Raw genomic sequence first — 21055 nt, forward strand, 5'->3', positions numbered from 1 at the left:
CTCCAGCCTGGGTGACAGAGTGAGACTCTGTCAAAAAAAAAAAAATAAATAAATAAATAAATAACATTCTTCACAGAAATAGACCAAAAAAAAAAAAAACTTAAAATTTTTTTAAGACCCCAAATAGTCAAAGCAATCCTGAGCAAAAAGAACAAACCTAGAAGCATTGTACTATCAGACTTCAAAATATACTACAAAGGTGTGGTAACCCAAGAAATATGGTACTGGCATAAAAACAGACACAAAGACCAATGGAACAGAAAAGAGAACCCAGAAATTAATTCACATATCTACAGCCAACCGATTTTTGACAAAAGTGCTAAGAGCATTCACTGGTGAAAGGATAATTTCTTCAATAAAAGGTGCTGGGAAAACTGGATATCCATAAAGAGAAGACTGAAACCACCTCTCATCCTATAAAAAAATCAACTCAAAATGGATCAAAGACTAAATGTAAGACCCCAAACTATAAAATTAATAGAAGGAAATATAGGGGAAATGCTTCAGCACATTGATCTGGAAAAGACTTTATGAATAAAACCTCAAAAGTACAGGCAATAAAAGCAAAAACAAACAAGTAGGATTATATCAACGAAAAGGCTCTGCACAGCAAAGGAAACAATCAGCAAGGGGAAAAGACAATCTAAAGAATGGGAGAAAATATTTGTAAGCTATTCATCTGACAAGGGCTTAATATCCAAATATACAAGCAACTGCAAACAAGTTAAATAATCCAATTTTTTTTTTTTTTTTGAGATGGAGTCTCTCTCTGTCACCCAGGCTGGAGTGCAGTGGCATAATCTCAGCTTACCCCAACCTCCACCTCCTGGGATCAAACGATTCTCCTACCTCAGCCTCCTAAGTAGCTGGGATTACAGGTGCACACGACCACGCCTGGCTGATTTTTGTATTTTTAGTAGAGACGGGGTTTTACCATGTTGGCCAGACCAGTCACAGACTCTTGACCTCAAGTGATCCACCTGCCTCGTCCTCCCAAAGTGCTGGGATTACAGGCGTGAGCTACCGCGCACCCGGCCAAATAATCCAATTTTTTTTTTTTTTTTTTTTTTGAGACGGAGTCTCGCTCTGTCGCCCAGGCTGGAGTGCAGTGGCGCGATCTCGGTTCACTGCAAGCTCCGCCTCCCGGGTTCACGCCATTCTCCTGCCCCAGCCTCCCGAGTAGCTGGGACTACAGGCGCCCGCCACCACCTGGCTAATTTTTTGTATTTTTAGTAGAGACGGGGTTTCACCGTGTTAGCCAGGATGGTCTCGATCTCCTGACCTCGTGATCCACCTGCCTCCACTTCCCAAAGTGCTGGAATTACAGGCTTGAGCCACCGTGCCCAGCCCCAAATAATCCAATTTTAAAAGGGGCAAATGATCTAAACAGACATTTCTCAAAAGAAGACATACAAATGGCCAACAAATAAATGGAAAAAAAAAAAAAAAGCTCAACAACACCAATCATCAGGGAAATGCAAATTAAAAACACAATGAGATATCTCACTCCAGTTAGGATGGCTAATACCAAAAAGATAAAAAATAACAAATGCTGGGGAGGATGTGGGGAAATGGGAACTCTTATACACTGTTGGTGGGAATGTAAACTAGTATAACTCCTGTGGAAAACAGTATGGAGTTCCTCAAAAACTACAAATAGAATCACCATATGATCCAGCAGTCCCACGACTGGGCATGTATCCAAAGGAAAGGAAATCAGGATATTGAAGAAACATCTTTACCTCCATGTTTATTGCAGCACTATTCACAATAGCCAAGATATGGAATCAATCTAAGTGTCCAACAACAGATGAATGGGTAAAGAAAATGTGGTATATATACATAACGGAACATAATTCAGCCATAAAAGGAATAAAATCCTGTCATTCACAACAACACGGGTGGAACTGGAGGACATTATGTTAAATGAAATAAGCAAAGAACAGAAAGTTAAACACCGCATGTTGTCTTCACATGTGGAAGCTCAAAAAAGTTGATCTCATAGAAATAAAATGTAGAACAGAGGATACTAGAGGCTGGGAAGGATAGGAGGAAGAAGGGGATAGGGAGAGATTTATTAAAGGATACAAAATTACAGCTAGGAGGAATAACTTCCAGTGTTCTCTGCCACTATAGGATGACTACAGTTAATAATAATAATAATATATTATATGGTTTCAAATAGCTAGGAGGATATTGGATGTTCCCAACACAAAGAAATGATAAATGTTTGAGATGATGGATATGCTAATTACTCTGATCTGATCACAAAATATATATGAAAACATCACTATGTACCCCATGAATACATATAATTATTATATGTCAGTTTCTTAAAAAGAAAATATCTGCAAACCATACATCTGATAAGAAGTTAATATCCAAAATATATAAGGAACTGAAATAGCTCAATAGCGAGAAAACAATCTGGTTAAAGAATAGGCAAAGGACCTGAATAAGCATTTCTCAAAAGAAGACATAAAAATAATCCTATCTTTTACACTATGACAAGCATTTCCATCCCCAGGTTTATATACAAAAGGAATTGTTACAAAGGGACTCTGGGACCCATGTATAAGGAAGTTTACAGCAGTGCTGTTTGTAACAGCAAAAGCCAGAAATAGCCTAAATACAGAATAAACAATAATATATTCACAAAGTGGAATATTACATAGTCATCAAAATAAATGAACTACAGTTGCATACATCAATAGGGATGAATCTTAGCAATACAATATCAAGTGAAAAGAAGTGCATTCCAGAAGTTAATATATAGCATGCTGCCTTCCCTAAAGTTAAAAACACCAACATTAAAAAATAAGTGTTTTAGGACTATATATCAAACAGATACAACTTTGTTAAAAGGAAAACAAGGGAATGATAAGATTTGGGATGATGTTTACCTTGGGTAGAAAAAAGTGGTGAATGGGCTGAAGGAGAATTCATAGCTAGATGTAAATATAATCCAAATATATTCCACCACTTTTGTGTGAGTCTTAGCTTTCGTATTAACCAACAGGTTTATGAGTATGTATTATAATAAACAAATTAATAAATAATGGCTATGCATGGACCAACGAGTAGACTCCTTATTAAACTACCAATTATGATTAATTCAATTCTGAGTGTGTCTGGAGTCCAAAGGAAAAACAAAAAGCAAAACCTATGCATTAATTGTGAACAATGTAGCACCCTGGCAAAGTATGTGAAGAAAAACTCATCTCTAATTGTGTCTGCCCAGAGAAAATCAGTGTTAACATTTTGGTATTTTTTCTAATTCATATTTTTGAACAAAAGTATAATCATGACATTTAAACAGTAGTCATTATTTAAACTTAACATTGCATACATTTTTCCACGTGATAAAATAATCTTTGAAAATATGTTTCTAATAGCTGAGTTGTATTACATTTTACATATGCACGATAATTTATTTGACTAATTGTTTGTATACATTTATTCTGGTTGTTTCAATTTTTTGTCATTATGAATAAGCCTGCAATAAGCAGTTTGCACAATAAATATGGGTGCCATCTTTGATGATTTACTTAGGATACATTTTTAAGAGTGGAATAAAGGTGTGAAAAAATTTTAAGTTATTGCTACATATTGATAAATTGAAGGGCACCATTTTTATGTGAGAAATAAATAGAAAAAGTTTTTTTCAATATATTGCACATAAAAGTGCTTAATATATGTGTAATAGACATTTAATCGATATCCATTGAATATGAATGCATATAATTACAAGGTTACTTAAAATATTTTAGAAGATGATAAAGGACTATCTTCCTCATCTGCCAGGCTATGAAAATTAAATGACTCAGTATTGTGTCTTAACTTTTAATGGAAATACAAGTGTGTGCCATGGGAGCTATTCTTTTTGTTGCATTAATGACAACAAATAAAATTTATATATCATGTTATTCCTTTAACAGTGTTTCCATATGCATTATTTCATTTACTCTCCATGACAAAAAATCATCTAAGATATTTGTTATTACATAACCCCTACTTTACAGATGAGGAGGTTGACACAAATTAGAATACTTAGCCAAGCTTATAAAGCTTAAAACTTATTGTATTTTATTTTTTATTTTTATTTTTTATCTTTTTTTTTTTTTGAGATGGAGTCTCACTCTGTCGCCCAGGCTGAAGTGCAGTGGTTTGATCTTGGCTCACTGCAACCTCCACCTCCAGGGTTCAAGTGATTCACCTGCCTCAGCCTCCCAAGTAGCTGGGCTTACAGGTGCCTGCCACCAGTCCTGGCTAATTTTTGTATTTTTAGTAGAGAGAAGATTTCACCACGTTGGCCAGGCTGGTCTTGAACTCCTGACCTCAGGTGATCCATCGCCTCGGCCTCCCAAAGTGCTGGGATTGCAGGCATAAGCCACCACACCAGCCTAAAGCTTAAAGCTTAGAAGAAAAGGCAAATCTTCTGAATTCCAGTTCCAATAATAGAGGAATAACTTATATTGACTATCTGCAGATAATGACTGTAAACTGTCCACAAAATATTTTACCCAATTATTTGAAAGGCAACAGAGATCAACTAAAAGCAGGCGGAAACTGGGAGAGAAATATTTAAAGTCAATAATCAAAGCTCTTACCTTAAAAAACAAGAAAAAAATATAAGTAAATTAAAGGTGTAGAGGGGGAAATAATAGAGATAAGAACAGAAATCAATGAAATAGTAAACAAACTGTAGGAAGAAATATTAACAAAGGCCAAAATTTGTTTATTGAAAAAATTGTTCACCATGGAATACTATGCAGCCATAAAAAATGATGAGTTCATGTCCTTTGTAGGGACATGGATGAAATTGGAAATCATCATTCTCAGTAAACTATCGTGAGGACAAAAAACCGAACACTGCATGTTCTCACTTGTAGGTGGGAATTGAACAATGAGAATACATGGACACAGGAAGGGGAACATCACCCTCTGGGGACTGTTGTGGGGTGCTAAATGACGAGTGAATGGGTGCAGCACACCAGCATGGCACATGTATACATATGTAACTAACCTGCATATTGTGCACATGTACCCTAAAACTTAAAGTATAATAATAATAAAATAAAATAAAATAAAAAAGAAAAAATTGTTAAATTCCTAGCTAAACTGATGAGAAAAAGAGAGGAAACACAACCTATCAATTTTGGAAATAAAAGAAGAGTATCATTAGAGATTACATGACAATAAAAATATAATAAAGGATTATTATAAACAACTTTATATAAATAAATTCAACACTTTAAATGAAATGCACAAATTCCTTGAAAAACACAACTTGCCAAAACTGACAAAAGAAATGAGAAATCTGAATAACCATTTACCTATTTTAAAAATTGAATTTGTTATCAAACTTTCCCACAAAAATAATTCAAGGTCCAAATGGCTTCACTAGTCAATTCTATCAAACATTTAAGGAAGAAATAACACCAATCTTACATTCTTTCCAAAAATAGAGGAGGAGACATTTCCCAGCTTGCTTTGAGGCCAGCCTAGCCCTAATACCAAAGACTGATAAAGATATTACAAGAAAAGAAAATCCAACATATCCCACATGAATATTAACAGAAAAAATTCTGACCAAAAATATTAGTGACTAAAATTCAGCAATATATTAAAAACCAAAATACATCATTACCGAGTAAGGTTTATCCCAGGAATATTGGGGGAACCCACCCCCAATATTTCAATATTTCAACGTAGGTTCTTTCTATTTTCCATAAGTGTTGGCCGGCTGAGAATAAAGACAGACAGTACAAAGAGAGGAATTTTACAGCTGGGCCGCCAGGAGTGACATCATGTATCGGTAGGACCGTGATGCCCACCTGAGTCTCAGACCAACAAGCTTTTATTAAGGGTTTCAAGAGGGGAGGGGGTGTAAGGACAGGAAGTAGGTACAAAGATCACATGTTTCTGAGGGCAAAAAGCAGAACTACTAATAAGGGTCTAACAAAGATCACATGCTTCTGAGGGAACAGTACAAAGGGCAAAAGCAGAACTACTGATAAGGGTCTATGTTCAGCAGTGCACGTACTTATTGTCTTGATAAACATCTTAAACAACAGAAAACAGGGTTTGAGAGCAGAGAACCAGTCTGACCACAAATTTACCAGGGCAGAGTTTTCCCCCACCCCAGTAAGCCTGAGGGTTCTGCAGGAGACCAGGGATTATCTCAGTCCTTATCTCAACTGCACAAGACAGACATTCCCAGAGTGGCTGTTTATAGACCTCACCCCAGGAATGCATTCCTTTCCCAGGGTATTAATATTAATATTCCTTACTAGGAAAAGAATTTAACGATATCTCTCCTACTTGCATGTCCATTTATAGGCTCCCTGCAAAAAGAAAAATATGGCTCTTTTTCCCGACCCTGCAGGCAGTCAGACCTTATGGTTGTCTTCCCTTGTTCCCTAAAAATCGCTATTATTCTGTTCTTTTTCAAGTTGCACTGATTTCATATTGTTCAAACACACATGTTTTGCAATCAATTTGTACAGTTAACACAATTATCACAGTGGTCCTGAGATGACGTACGTCCTCAGCTTACGAAAATAACAGGATTAAGAGATTAAAGACAGGCGTAAGAAATTATAAAAGTATTATTTGGGAACTGATAAATGTCCATATTAAGATGAAATCTTCACAATTTTGTTCCTCTGCCTCACCTCCAGCCGGTCCCTCCGTTCAGCATCCCTGACTTCCCTCAACACAGGAATACAAGGTTGGTTTAATATTTGAAAATTAGTGAATGTAGTTCACCATGGTAGACAGTAAAAAGGAGAAAAACTACACAATTTATGCAATAGATGATTCAAAGTATTTGACAAAATTCAATAGCCATTTATGATCAAATTCTCAGCAAATTAGAAATAGAAGTTACTTAACCTGAAAAAGTCCATCTCTGAAAAGTGTACAATTAACATCATATATAATAATGAAATATTGAATACTTTCTCCCTAGTTTCATGAATAAGGCAAGAATGTTCACTCTCACCTCCTCTATTCAACATTGTACTAGATGTCCTAGCCATCTCTTTTAAGAAGCCAAAAAGAGAAATAAAGTCATCAATAAAGACTGGAAGTGAAAAAGTAAAACAGTCTTTTCTTGACAGACAGCACAATTTTTTACATAGAAAATCCCAAAGAATTTACAAAAAAGTTACTAGAACTAATAAGTGAATTTTACCATGTTGTATGACATAGGTCAATATAAAAAATTAATTATAGCTCTGTATATTATTAACAAATAATTTGAAAATACAATTTAAAGACAATTCCATGTGATCACAAATACGACAAAAAATATGCAAAAACTCTACATTAGAAGCTTCAAAATATTGTTGAGAGACATTAAAGTCCTAATTAAATGAACAGATATACCATGTTCATAGAATGGATGACTCATTTTTTTATTTGTTTGTTTGTTGAGACAGGGTCTTTCTCTTTCACTCAGGCTGCAGTGCAGTGGCACAATCATGGCTCACTGCAGGATATAGCTCACTGAAATAGCTCAACAGCAAGAAAACAAACAATTTTATTAAAGAATGGGCAAAGGACCTGAATAAGCATTTCCCAAAAGAAGACATACAAATAATCCTATATTTTACACTATGACAAGCATTTCCATCCCTAGGTCCAACCCTCGACCTCCCCAGGCTCAAGTGATTCTCTCACCTCGACCTCCTGAGTAGCTGGGACTACAGAGGCACACAACCATACCTGGTTAATTGTTGTACTTTTTGTAGAGACAAAGTTTTGCCACATTGCCCAGGCTAGTCTCGAACTCTTGAGTTCAAGTGATCCACTCACCTTGGCCTCTCAAAGTGCTGGGATTACAGGTATGAGCCACCATGCCCAGTTGAGGCCGCTACGTTTTAAAAAGTGTCTGTTCTAGATTAAATACAATTCTAATCAAAATATAATCAGGCATTTTCTTTTTCTTTAAGAGATGGGGTTTTGCTCTGTCACTGAGGTTGGAGTTGTGATCAAAAGCACACTGCAACTTCAAACCATCCTCCCCCCTCAGTCTCCCTGGTAGCTGGAACTAAAGGCTCAAGCCACCATGCCTGGCTATGCTTTTTTGAAGTAATTGACAAGTCTATTGTAAAATTTATGTGGAAATGCAAAGGAACTATAATAGGCTGAAAAGGGGCATCAAGATGGAAAGTAACAAATCTTGAAATAACAATCCTGAAAATAACAAAATTGGAGGACTCACACTACCTGATTTCAACACTTACTAGAAAGTATAGTAATCAAGAGAAAGTGAAAGTTGCATAATCGCCATGAGAACCTACTAATTTGATGTTACTGTATAAATACTCTTTAAGGTTCATTTTAATGTAGTCGATCATTTCTTACCTCAGGACAAATAATAGGCTATCTCTGTTAAAAAACAAAAACAACCAGGGGCCTTACAGCGTACCACAGTATTTCCCAAAGTAAAATTCATATACACTGGTCTGAAGATCCTTTTAAGTGGTACATGGAAAAATAAGTTCTTTAAAAAATAATTGTGTGTTTAAAAATTATTCTGTGCTTGAAGTTACAAAGACCATTTTTCTATTAATGATGGTCATATAAAGTTTCCTTCTGACATAAAATGAAGGTTTAAAACAGCAGATGGACTTACGGACTAATACAGGAGTGCTAACACCTCATTCGGACATTAGGCAGATTTACACCCTCACCCCCACCTCCGCACTGGCAGAGCAAGAAAACCCGGGCTTCCCCTCATCCACACACTCCTTCCCCTCCAGGGCCGAGACTGCTTTCACTACAAAGTCAAAAGTACCAGGAAGGGTGTTTTCCACAGACAGGTAGGCTGGCTCCCAACTCACCAATCAGGTAACCGATGGACGGAAAGGCAAGCCAGGGGTTTACCTTAAGGAGGGCCTTCTCTGTGGAAACACGGGGTGTAGGAATCAAGTGTCTCTGTCTCTGTCTCTCTAACACACACACACACACACACAGGCCATGGACCTCTCAGCATCACCTCTTCCCCAGCCTCCCAGGGCCCAGGTGTTGTTTCTGTGTCTCTGGAGACCGAATGTAATGGCTACCACCACTCTCTTATGAACAGATTGTGTGGGATCCTGCCACGAATTCGAAGCTCCAAATCAAAGTCCAGGGTATGTGCATATGACTGGCAGAATTAAGCAATGAGCCTGTCCCAGGACTGCAAGGGATGCTGTCGAAGTAACTGTATACGATAGCTTTTATTTCTACAGTGGTGTTCATGTGGTCGTTGGGGTGGGGCTCAGTAACAGAAGACATAGAGGAAAGCATATTGGGCAGACAAAACTAGCATTCTGTAGAGGAGAAAACCGAGTCTCAGAGCAGTTAGGTAACTTGCTAAAGTCACACAGCAAGTAACTAACTCTGCATTTACAAGATCAAATACTTTTTAATCAAGTTCTGGTATCTAGAGCCTCAGGAATTCTGGTTCTTATACATGAGAGAGAAAATTTGGGAGAAAATAAAGAAGCAACAACAAGATGCAGGCCTCAAAAACCAAGGAAAAATGATGCTTTACTCTGAATCTACAAGGCTTTGTGTGGTCCAAGCCTACACCAGGGAGATGCTCTCCCGACTTGTTCCAGAGGGATGAGTTGTGCAATGTTCGTTTTTGATGGTGAGGTTAGAATTCCCTGGAAAGCAGTTTTGTTTTTCTTGTGAAGCCAGCACTTTATTGGAATAATTGTCTTGTTTCTATTCAAAGTCCTCTTTACCTCTGTTCCCATAAGCCTCTGACAATTTTGAGCTTTTTCTGGTTTTTGGAGATTGTACAAAGACACTGGCACTTTGCAGCCTCGTCCCTCGGGTTCTGGGTGTGCCACACACTCTGAAGCACACACTTTCCATGGTGGCGGTTCTCCTCTGGCCGGCTGCCCAGGCTGTCGCCTTGTCCATCTCTGCCAGCGCTATTGGGAGGCAGCTGGAGGCCCTGTGCTGGAGAGCTGGCTGGCATCCCCACTTGGCTGGCCCACTCCTGGGGATTCTCAGGACGGTGACCACGAGAACAGGCTGATGTCCTGAGGATGTGCCCTCCCTTATGTGCACTTTGTCTCATGCTGAGAGTCAATTTCTTACTCCAGTCACAGAAAAGCTGTGTAAGCAATTCAGGCCACTCCTTGATCTTTTCTCCCCCTAAACGCCTGGCTTCTGAAAGCTCATCATTGCTTCAAGGGCTATTTTTCTGCCATCTTTTGAGAGATTGAGACAATTAGGTCAGTTTCAGCAGGTAGATACTCTTCCTGCATCTCTACCCAGACCTATCAGAAGTCAAAGGATACATCACCCAGCCCAAACTGCCTTAGGCAGTCACCCAGAACTGATTCACACAGAACTTACACGTGAAACTCAAGGACAGCAATCCGGAGGGACAGTAGGAGGAGCGGACTGAAAACATATTTGCATGTGGCACTTTATACAATAGCCGATGGTAGCAATTGTGCTGCATTCTCACAGTGAGTTTGGCGGTGAGCCACCTGCTTTGAATACAGCCATCCTTTGAAACAGGTTCTATTTTTATCCCCGCTTCACAGATGAGGAAACTGAGAGACCAATTTCAAGGTCATACAGAGTAAGGGCTGGAACTGGGATTTTAAGCTCAGCAGTCTGGCGCCAGGGTCTGTCCTCTTTTTCTTGTGTTGATACACGATATTTTCATACTTATAGGATACATGTGACTTCTGTTATGCATAATAAAGGTTGAGAAAATGTCAACTGCCCTCCCCCAGATCCTTGGTACCACCACTAGAACCCTCCAGGAGCCTTCTCTTTTTCCTGCATTTACCCTCACACACTTGCCTGTTTAATTTAGCCAATGTATTTCTTTGATTTCAGTTAAAACTCCATTGCTAAGCCTGTTTTCTTATCAATAAAATGGGAATAACGAAGGTATCTGTCTCACACAGGTCTTACAAAACTATAAGTTCTAAGTACCTGATAAATGTAAACAGCCAATAAATGAGCATTATTATTACAAAGATAGTAGAGAGTTTCGCAGAGGATTGATTTTGTTTTTGTCCCCCCCACAACCCCTGTCGCCTAGGCTGGAGTGCAGTGGTGCCATCTCGGCTCACTGCAACCTCTGCCTCCTGGGTTCAAGCAATTCTCCTGCCTCAGCCTCCTGAGTAGCTGGGAATTACAGGTGCCCACCACCATGCCCGGTTAATTTTTGTATTTTTATAGAGACGGGGTTTCACCACGTTGGCCAAGCTGGTCTTGAACTCCTGGCCTCAGGTGATCCACCCGCCTTGGCCTCCCAAAGTGCTGGGATTGCAGGTGTGAGCCACCATGCTCAGACTCACAGAGGTTTAGAAAGTACTGGCTTAAAATGAGACGCCTCTCACTTGGTTAGCCTAGAATTTTCCATTATTGCCTTACCAATACGAGATAAACAGGTTACCATTCTTTCCTGTAGCTCTTACTCAGAATTTCAAATTTAGAATGTCACATTCAGTGATTTTGGTCTAAAGAGGACCATTTTTGCCATCACCACAAAGCTTGGGAACCCTTGGCTTTGAGACCCACAAGAGGGCCCACCCGGCAAAGGATCTGTATCTTGGTCTCAGCATTTTGAGCTCTGCCCACACTTGTGTTAATTCAGATGAACACACAAAAGAAAGTACAGTATGTATTCTTTCATTAATGAGTTTACTCATCAGGAAAGGAAGAGAATAAATGGTGCTAATCAGAATAGCCAGTTTTCAGGGAATTAAAAGACATTTTTGCTTGAATGTGCTAAAAGTTTAAATGAGGAACAATACATTATCTAAGTCAGTAGTTTTTACACTGTATTCAGTGGAGCCCTGGAGTTTTGCCAAGGCATGTCAAGGGCAGCTCTGAAGTTCTGAAGTTAGTAATTATCCCTCTGGCTGAATGTTAACTTGAACAGAGTGGAGGAACTCAGGCTGTAAGGCCTGAGGACGACTGTGAAACAGCTGTGCCAGAACCTTCACGCTGCCTAAGAGCACATTCAGTTCTGGAGATGTGTGACCTTGGTCAAGTCACTTCCCACCTCTGGCATCTGTCGTCTTCTCTGTCCAATGAGGAGAATCAATGGCGTGACAATTTAAAAAATCTTTTGGCTCTAAAATTCTGAGACCCTCACATGAATTGCGGTCTCTTCAATGTTTACTTCCAATAAAAAAAGATTTTTAGGGCTACCTTCATACAACTGTCTTCAAAATTGGCACATCGTTTCTTTGACATTTCTCAGTGATTGCAAATCCTAGCCCTTTCAGGATAAATGTGATTTGGGGAAGTGACAGAAAACATCCACTCATTCCAAACCAGGTGTTTCATTCAACTCACCCCACAAGAGCTTAGTGAGTGCCTTTCAAGAGCTAGACACTGGCAGAGGTGAGACAATAGTGATGAGGCCAAACTTTTCCTTTTTCTCAAGCGGCTCCCAGGCCAGTGATAAGCTGGTAAAACACATACATGGGTTTCTGGCGTGGTTTTTAGATGTTTCCTAGGTGGGGCCATTGTGACAGGAGATGATGAAATGTTGGAGCCAAGGATCAGAGAAATTGGTAGTTGCCTTGGAAACAAGAAGACTTGTCTCTTGTATCTACCATTTTGAAGTCTGATAAGTATCCTCTGACTCAAGAGACCATAAGGCCTGAAGCTGTAAGCAGTCCTTTCTCCTATTCTCACCCCTTTGGGGAGTCACTCTCTAGCCCCTCACCATAATTTTTTCTTCATAAACTCATTGTCCTTTTCATTTACTTTATTTTCTATCTTCTTTACTACATTTTGTCCATTTGTCCACTACAACCACTGCAGGTCCTTTAAGTACCTTCAACTCCCAGATCCCTTTGGTAGCTGGCTGGTTGGCAGGTGAATGTTGTTTGCAAGGGTATCTGAGTCAGCCTTCATAGCAGCCATATAACACCCACTTGGTTCAAATAGATAATTGTGCATAGTTAGGAGAGTCAGTCTGTATCGCAGAAATCAGGCTAATCTAGGTTCAAATCCCAGGCCCATCTAACTTGCTCTGTGGCTTTGGGCAAGCCACTTAAATGAAATTATAGATATTTTGCAAGGTTGCCATATGGATAAGGAATCACATATATAGAGCACTCAGTATATGTTAATGCCTAGTGAGGGTTCAAAAAGTGGTGGTTCTGACTAGGTGCGATAGCTCACACCTGTAATCCCAGCACTTTGGGAGGCTGAGGCGGTCGGATCACTTGAGGTCAGGAGTTCGAGACCAGCCTGGTCAACATAGTGAAATCCTATCTCTATTAAAAATACAAAAATTAGCAGGGTATGGTGGCGCACGCCTATAATCCCAACTACTAGGATGGCTGAGGCAGGAGAACTGCTTGAACCCAGGAGACAAAAGTTGCAGTGTCCCAAGACTGCACCACTGCACTCCAGCCTGGATGACACAGTAAAACTCTGTCTCGAAAAAGAAAAAGTGTTGGTTCTTTTTATTATTAGGACTGCAAGGATGATACCAGTGTTCATATAGCTTATTAGAGAGCTGGCCTGGACCAGTCCTCTTTGAGGTGTTGCTGGAACTTGAAGGAACCACTGTTGAGCTGAGCAGAAGCTTACAGATACACCCTAGGGGAGTATGTGGCTTGGATGGGGCTCCTGGAGACAGCGAGCCACCAGGAACCACAGAAGGAAGGTGGGGTGAAGTTGAGTCAGCAGTCTGGCCAGACCAGTTGATGGAAGAAAGACCTGAACTGGATTCAAGAGACAAACTTTCATTGCCTCAGGTTAAAGATGGTCTCAAAGGTTGACATTAGAAAATGTAAAAAGGTGAAGCCAGGCATGGTGGCAGGTGCCTGTAATCCCAGTTACTTGGGAGGCTGATGTGGAAGGACTGCTTAAGGCCAGGAGTTCAATGCTGCAGTGCACTATGTTCTCACCTGTGAACAGCCACTGCACTCCAGCCTGGGCAACATAGTGAGACCCTGTCTCAAAAATTTTTTTAAAAAGAGTAATTGTAGGAAGGTGAATGAATGGATGTCCACTTTCCATTGACCTACTTGATTAAATGAATAATCTACATTTAAAAAGCCACTTAATCACCACCAGGGCCATTAAGACATATGAAAATCTCAACAGTTGAAAGAGGTCTATGGTGCATATGATAAATTTGGAAGTGGAAATTGGTGAATGATCCTCTAAAAACGAATGGGGTCTTCCTTGTACATACACATGTGGAGGTAAGGATCTGACAGCTCGGAGGTTGCAAACTGGAGACCACTGCTGTCACATATATTTTGTTTAACTTGAACAATGTTTTAAAATAAGATTTCACCTGAATTTCTGGTTTTTCTCAAATATTAAAAAGATGGAGCCACACATTCTTCCATAGCAACAGTATGCCTGCATCAAGTACCCACTGTCTCCTGCGGCTATTTAGTGGGGTAGGGGACTTCAGAAAAGGTTGCTAAAACCAAGAAACTACTTTTTAGGGGTTTCAGGCTATTTGCCACTCCCTCCTTGAAATGCTTTCTTGGTTTTTATACACTGCTTCAGCCTTGTTTTCCTCCCACTTCTCCAACTGCTCTTTTTCATTCCCTTCTACAAAAGTCCTTCCTCCTCTGCTGTCCCCAGATTCTAGGAATCTCAGGGCTCTATTTTAGATCTTCTCTCTTCCCTATTCCACACAGTTTTCTTGGTAAACCTCATCTCTCAAGGTTTTGAGTCCCAGCCAAATGCTGCTTATGTCCATGGTAGGTGTGCAGTACATATGGGATTGGTTGAATCGTGCAGAAACATGAGATAGGAGGATTCTGGGGTGATTTTGTTTTGTTTTTGAGACAGGGTCTCCTCTGTTGCCCAGGCTGGTCTCAAAGTTCTGGGCACAAGCGATCCTCCCAACCTCAGCTTCTTGAGGAGGAGATGCGATTATAGGTGTGCACCACTATGCCCCACCTCGTGTGTATTTTTCATGTTCTCTTCTTTCGCTGACCTAAACTACTTATTTTTAAAAGCATAATGCTTATTTTGGAAACTTATGAAAATACTGACATATACAAATAAGGAAATAGCAATTGCCTACAATCCAAGATAACCACTGTTAGTATTTTGGCTATTTAACTCACTCCATGATTTCCACCACTCTCTATCCCCTCACCATAATTTTTTCTTCATAAACTCATTGTCCTTTTTACTTACTACTTTATTTTCTATCTTCTTTACCACATTTTGTCCATCTGTCCACTACAACCCCAGGTCCTATAATAGTGCCTGGCATACAGAAGGCATGCACGCCCTTAATCTTTGTTGAATAAATGAGTCAATGTCATTATATATATGTGTGTGTATATATATATAATGTGTATGTATATATGTGTATGGAGAGAGTGAGCAAGCGCTGGATCATAATTTATACACAATTCTAGAGTTTTATTCACTTAGCATTACCTTTGTGCATGCTACTGACTTGTTGAAAAACTTTCAGTGATTTCTTAGAACAAAATCCTTACTTTAGCCCACAAGCTTGGGTTTCTACAGCCTAAAATGTCCCCAGAATTCAATCCCCGGAGGATAAAATGAGTTTAAAAAAAAAAGGAAAACAGAGTGATAAACATCAAGACATAAAAGTATGAGGATATGCACAGTGATTCTAAAAATTCAAATTAAAACTAAACTGGAATATTTACATATTTTATTAAATCTTTACAATCAGTAATTATAATCAAATACATAATTATATACAGGATTATATACATTTTGCCCAGACTTTTACATCACAGTACATAGTTTCCCTTAGAAATATTGTATACATTTATCACCAAACAATAAAATCCAACAACAGTAGTGTTACAGCACCTGTTAGTACAGACATCTTTTTCATAAATTACATCATAAGAAAATATACGGCTGTAAATTGGGCTTTTAAAAATGTCTTTTATAAAATCTGAACATACAATATTTCATTCACAGAATGTTTTTTTTTTCTATGTTCTGACTGAAGCCTTGTGCATAAAACGACCGGCTGGAATATTTACTAAATTCTACCCCCCTCTAAAATTATAAGCAGTATTTGAATTACTTATGCTGAGCTTTCTTCATGATGAATTTGGCATGGGGTTTGGTGAGAGAACAAATGTTGGCTTTACTATAAAAAAGGTTGTGTGATGGTAATTTAAATTTTAAAAGCTTCTTGAGAGAGTAATTACATTAGTGAAGTTAAAATCAGAAAGTGTACAATTTTTCTTTTTACTAATACTGTAAAGAAAAAGGGAGACGTATAATGCCAAGAGTTAATTTGTTCTGAAACAATTATACTCTTTTTGGAAGCCTATTGCAATTTAAGAAGAAAAAAGAAAACTTGCCTAACAAAATATCCCATACCAAACATATCTAGTAAATTACAATTCTTTCACACTTAAAACTTTATGGGAAAAGTATTGCAAATAAGGGCATATCATTTCAATGAACTTTTATATGCAGAAAAAAACTAGCTATTTTATTTTTAGTAGGTAAACAGGTTAAGTTTTAAAACTTGAAAATACCTGAATTAAATACTTGCTCTAATATCTCTTAAAGGATTTCAGCTAAAATCCTTGATTCCAGATTTGTAAACATTATATAAATCTTTCTTAAACAATTTTATGGCTGTGGTGATCACTTCAGCTATATTTCTAAGCAGTCAACATTTAACTGAGGTAGACCAGATGTTTCTAAATTCGGGGTTTCATAGAATCCCCTGAATCTTTAGCAAGTTACTAAAATGTCTATAAAAGTTAACTAAAAAACAAAACACTAAAAAAAAAAAAAACAACTAATGCCTTTGGAATTTTTAATGAACTCAAAAACTACTTTGTGGCAGTATGTCAAGTAAGTAAATGAATGTAGAGTTGTAATTACAACGTTGGAGTTTTTTAGACGAACATTATCTCCTCTTTTCTTAACTAGGGAAATATTGAGTATAATTCCTTCTGGGTATTAAGAAAAATTGGTTAAATTTTTTCCTTTTCTTTTTTTAAGGATTTACTTTTCTTAACAAGTGAACAATTTGCTTCTAAGCGTCAATGAAAGGCAACACCTCCCTCTAATGGCCAAAGGAAGAGAGTGGCAGTAAGCTGGCTTTTCCAATGTGTCACACAATCCTTCATGCCATTAAGTTCTCCTTGTTGGAAAAGAAATTAGGTTGTTTTGATAACTTAGAAAAGTTAGTTTTAGACAACAGTGACTTTCAGCTACAAATACAAAATCAAATCCATGTATATAAGGCTTCTGTAATCGATGTCTTAGAGGAACATCTGCTCATTTTCTCCAAGCCCCAGTCCTATAAATCAAGGCAAGTCAAGTAATTAAGCTTCAACTATTTTGGCAGCTTTGCAATTAAAATGAACAAAGCACTATATCTATCCTTCCATATACTGTATATATTATAGTTCTATCTTGTTACACCAAATCTCACATGCAGAGAGACTAAAAATATCCATTTTGGTTTCAGGTATAATTAAAAGCCAATAAGGGTCTTGCATACTATTCTTTTTCCCCTCCCCAAAGTGAATTCTCCATCAGATTTACTACTCCCTGACTCAATTATATTTACCTGGAATATCTGAATGCAGGTATTTATCCTCTCAGAAAAGAATATGTTTACCTGGGATCTAAACATACTGTACACGAATATACATAACTGCAATACAGCACTGCTGTTTTTAACAGCTCCACTTACACCTCATCAGTACCTCACAACCGTGTTTTAGGAAAAAGTTTTGTGTAATGTTATGGTAAAGAGAAGAAAATTATGTCTCTTAAATATTCCTTTAGAACAAATTCAGGCAAGTTTAAAAAATAAATAAAATGAATAAAGCCATGATTTCAACAACAGGGCTGTCTACAAACATCAACAACAAAATTTAAAAATTTTTAAGACTTAAATGTGGCCAGCACCAGACTACTACAACAACAACAAACCAAAAAAAAAAAGGGGGGGGGTGGAAGTCTCATTAAGCTATATAGCTATATGTAGTTGTATTGTACTTTTTTTTTTAAACACAGGTCACCATACACTAATTTTCAAGTCCGTATCAGAAGGAATATCTGTTAAAAACAAAAACAAAAACCATGATTCAACAGAAAATGTGACAGATTCCTTAGGTGCAACTTTAGAAACCTAAGTTTCAAAGGAGAAAAACAGTAGTTACTCCAGGAATTTTAACTCACTAACCACAGTTCTATCATGGCTCTGTAAGACAGAAAAATGGAACAAAATGTATATAGCTGTTGGCGATACGAGCCTTGTGGCTCAAATTGCATACCAAACATGGGATGGAGTAAGGCTGATGGCTAGAGGTAATCACCTCTAAGAGAAATGAACTGGAAATGATTTATAATCTACCCTACAAGGATATAATGCTAGGTTCCATTTCAGAGTAGTCACAGCTTTCCCTATGGAAGGCCCAATGGGAGGTTCATATTGCAACATTACAGTTTCTCCCTTACTCCATTTTTCAGAAGTATTAAGTAAGCAATCTCCACAATGTATTATATGACCTTTTTACCTGGTCCCACTGATTAGTCTTTATGCAGAGAACTCACTGAGAAAGTACACTGGCTTCACCTTTGGTTTAAATAAAAAAGACATTGTTAAGAAGGAAAAAAAATCAAGTCATCTTGATCATTTGTCACTAAATGAAACAAGAGAAAGCAATGAGCAAAGACTGTTTTCACCATAAATGCATTTGCTTCATAACCACTTAGGTCACTTAGAGTGTTTTGTGAAGGCAGCATAATCAGAATGCCACAATACTCGGATGCATCTTCCCAAAAGAGCCTCTAACCCCCAAAACCAAGAAAGGCGAGCTTCCTTTAATTAGAAGGCTATCCAAACTCCTATTCCCCACTCCACTACTAAATGAATTTTGTTTCTTGTCTATCCAGAGACAACAGAAATCTGGTTCGCAGGAATGCTCAGTAATCTTTCCCTGGCCTGAGGTGTTGCAGGGTGGTGCAGTGCTGCATTTGAAGGGGGAACTGTGGATTTCCATTTTTGATGGGACAGTTTTAAACAAGGTCAATTCTAACACAGCATGCTCCAGATTCCTACGATAACTACGCCAGTCAGAACGTGGTTGTTCATCACCATACTTAAAGCCTCCCATTAGAAAGCCTGCTTAGTATTAGGATGTCTATTAACCACACACAGTTTACCTTTTCTTTTTAAATACCTACCAACAGATTGTTTAGCAAGTCATAGCTCATCCTTCTCCATCATTTCAAATGCTTCTATATCTTCATTCCAGTCTGCTAATATGGAGTCTATAGGCTGGACCTTTTTACCCCAGCTAACATTAGGATTGGAATCTTCCTCAGTTTCTGATTGTTCTTGAAGCTGGTTATCTAAATCTGTACATTCACCATTAAGATTTGTAGTCTCATGGTTTTCTGTGGGATTAGAAGTCTGTTCAGAAGGGGAAATGCTTGCAGCATTGTCCATATCTGCTAGAGATAATGATTCTGGGTGAGAATTTAGAGAATTTTCCTCAGAAGACTCTTGATCAACCAAATCAACCTCCTGAGAACTTGATGAAATCTGTTCACCACTCTGATTCTGAGAATCATTTTCAGAGGATGGTTGTTCTTCATTTTCCATTTCAGGATCTGTATGAGAAAGAAACAAACCTCATGCTACTTCTCTAAAAAAATGTACTATTACACTTTCCAAAGCATATTGGTTTTTGCAACAAGATGAAATAAAACGTGAAAGAGACTCATGTTAATGCAGAAAGGTGAGCATCAGCACTGAAATGAAGACTGTCTTTATGCAGTCACATTTTCCTATAGATTCACTGTGCAAAATGTGTCAGTGTTAGAAAATAAACGTTCTTCCAAATTGGAAGGAATGACAATAACTAAGACTGACATCAGTGGACATTAGTAAGCCAAGAAGTACGCTAACCAATAATAATATTAAAATATATAGAGATTTGCAATGTATGGCTAAAATGTATTAGATACCTAAAGCTTATGCATAAGAACATATTAAACAGAATCAATTTTAAACAGCATATATCATTGCTATATTTTCAAATAATATTCCTTTGAAAAGTGAAATTCCTACTCAGTAAGTCATAAAGAAGCAGATAACATAGATTTTTTTGAATGACTAAGGGTATTAATGTGACTGATCAGAAATACTTTCACAAGACAAGAACTGAGATTATTCATAAAATTCTATTATTTTAGGCCTATGAATTATAAGATATAGTCATTTTAAAATCCACTGGAAGGCTGAAGAGTGAGTTAAACCTCTTATAATGAATATACAGTGAAACCAGTAGAGGCATTTTATTTAGGGTTCCTACAAGAAAGTGCTTAAATAGCATCGACGCCTACATGCTACATCCTGTTCAGTCTCTGCCTCTGTGATGCAGTTGGCCAGCAAATATCCTCCAAGTCATCATTTGCATAGTGCTAGGGATAAAATGAGGAGCAATACCAAATGCTATACCTGCCCTTATGGGTCTTATAGTCCAACGGGAGAAAAAGATATTATACAAATAATCACGGAAAATAAATAGAAAACTCAACTGTGACACGTTATGAAAGAGAGATAAGGATTTTGGATGCTCAAGTCCCTTATGTAAAATGACACAGTATTTGCATATAACTGACACACATCCTCCCATGTACTTTAAATCATCTCTTGATTACTTTATAATACCTAATACAACGTAAATGTTATGCAAATCATTGGTATACTGTATTGTTTGGAGAATAATGACAAGAAAAAAAATCTCTGTATGTTCAATACAGATGCTTTTTTCTTCTTGAATATTTCCTATCCACAGTTGGTTGAATCCATGGGTGCAGAACCCACAGATACAGAGGGAGAACTGTAAGGAGATTTGAGAAGTTTCTTCAAAAAGTTCCTTCAGAAAGTGACACTTGAGCTGGGGTTTAAAGTATAAGATAATGTCAAAGAAGGGAGGGAAGAGGATTTATTTAAAAACCAGAAAAAACAAAGGAAATGTAGACATGCAGGAAGGTGTGGTGGGTATTGCTGGGGCACAGAAAACAATTCCCCAAAATATGGTGCTTCAGCATG

General features: G+C 38.0%; 1 protein-coding gene across 5 annotated transcripts in view, besides 1 other annotated feature; it reads right to left on the reverse strand.

Annotated features, from left to right (window-relative positions):
* Window positions 10219-10268: an enhancer, noted in NCBI's record as "active region_2236". NCBI's record gives its function as "activates an Ori minimal core promoter by ATAC-STARR-seq in GM12878 lymphoblastoid cells {active_cell/tissue: GM12878}" and the evidence as "EXISTENCE:reporter gene assay evidence [ECO:0000049][PMID:35858748]".
* EDEM3 (ER degradation enhancing alpha-mannosidase like protein 3) overlaps window positions 15373-21055 on the reverse strand; it is a 64622-nt gene continuing 58939 nt past the window's right edge. For all 5 annotated transcript variants that reach the window (NR_135118.2, XM_011510012.2, NM_025191.4 and 2 more), the window contains one exon: window positions 15373-19608. Coding sequence is in view for 4 of the 5 variants with exons in the window: in XM_011510012.2 (XP_011508314.1) it covers window positions 19199-19608 (410 nt within the window). In the remaining variant the exon portion in view is untranslated. The remainder of the gene's footprint in view (window positions 19609-21055) is intronic.

Source organism: Homo sapiens, chromosome 1, assembly GCF_000001405.40.
Source record: "Homo sapiens chromosome 1, GRCh38.p14 Primary Assembly".
In the NCBI taxonomy this organism is placed as follows: Eukaryota; Metazoa; Chordata; class Mammalia; order Primates; family Hominidae; genus Homo; species Homo sapiens.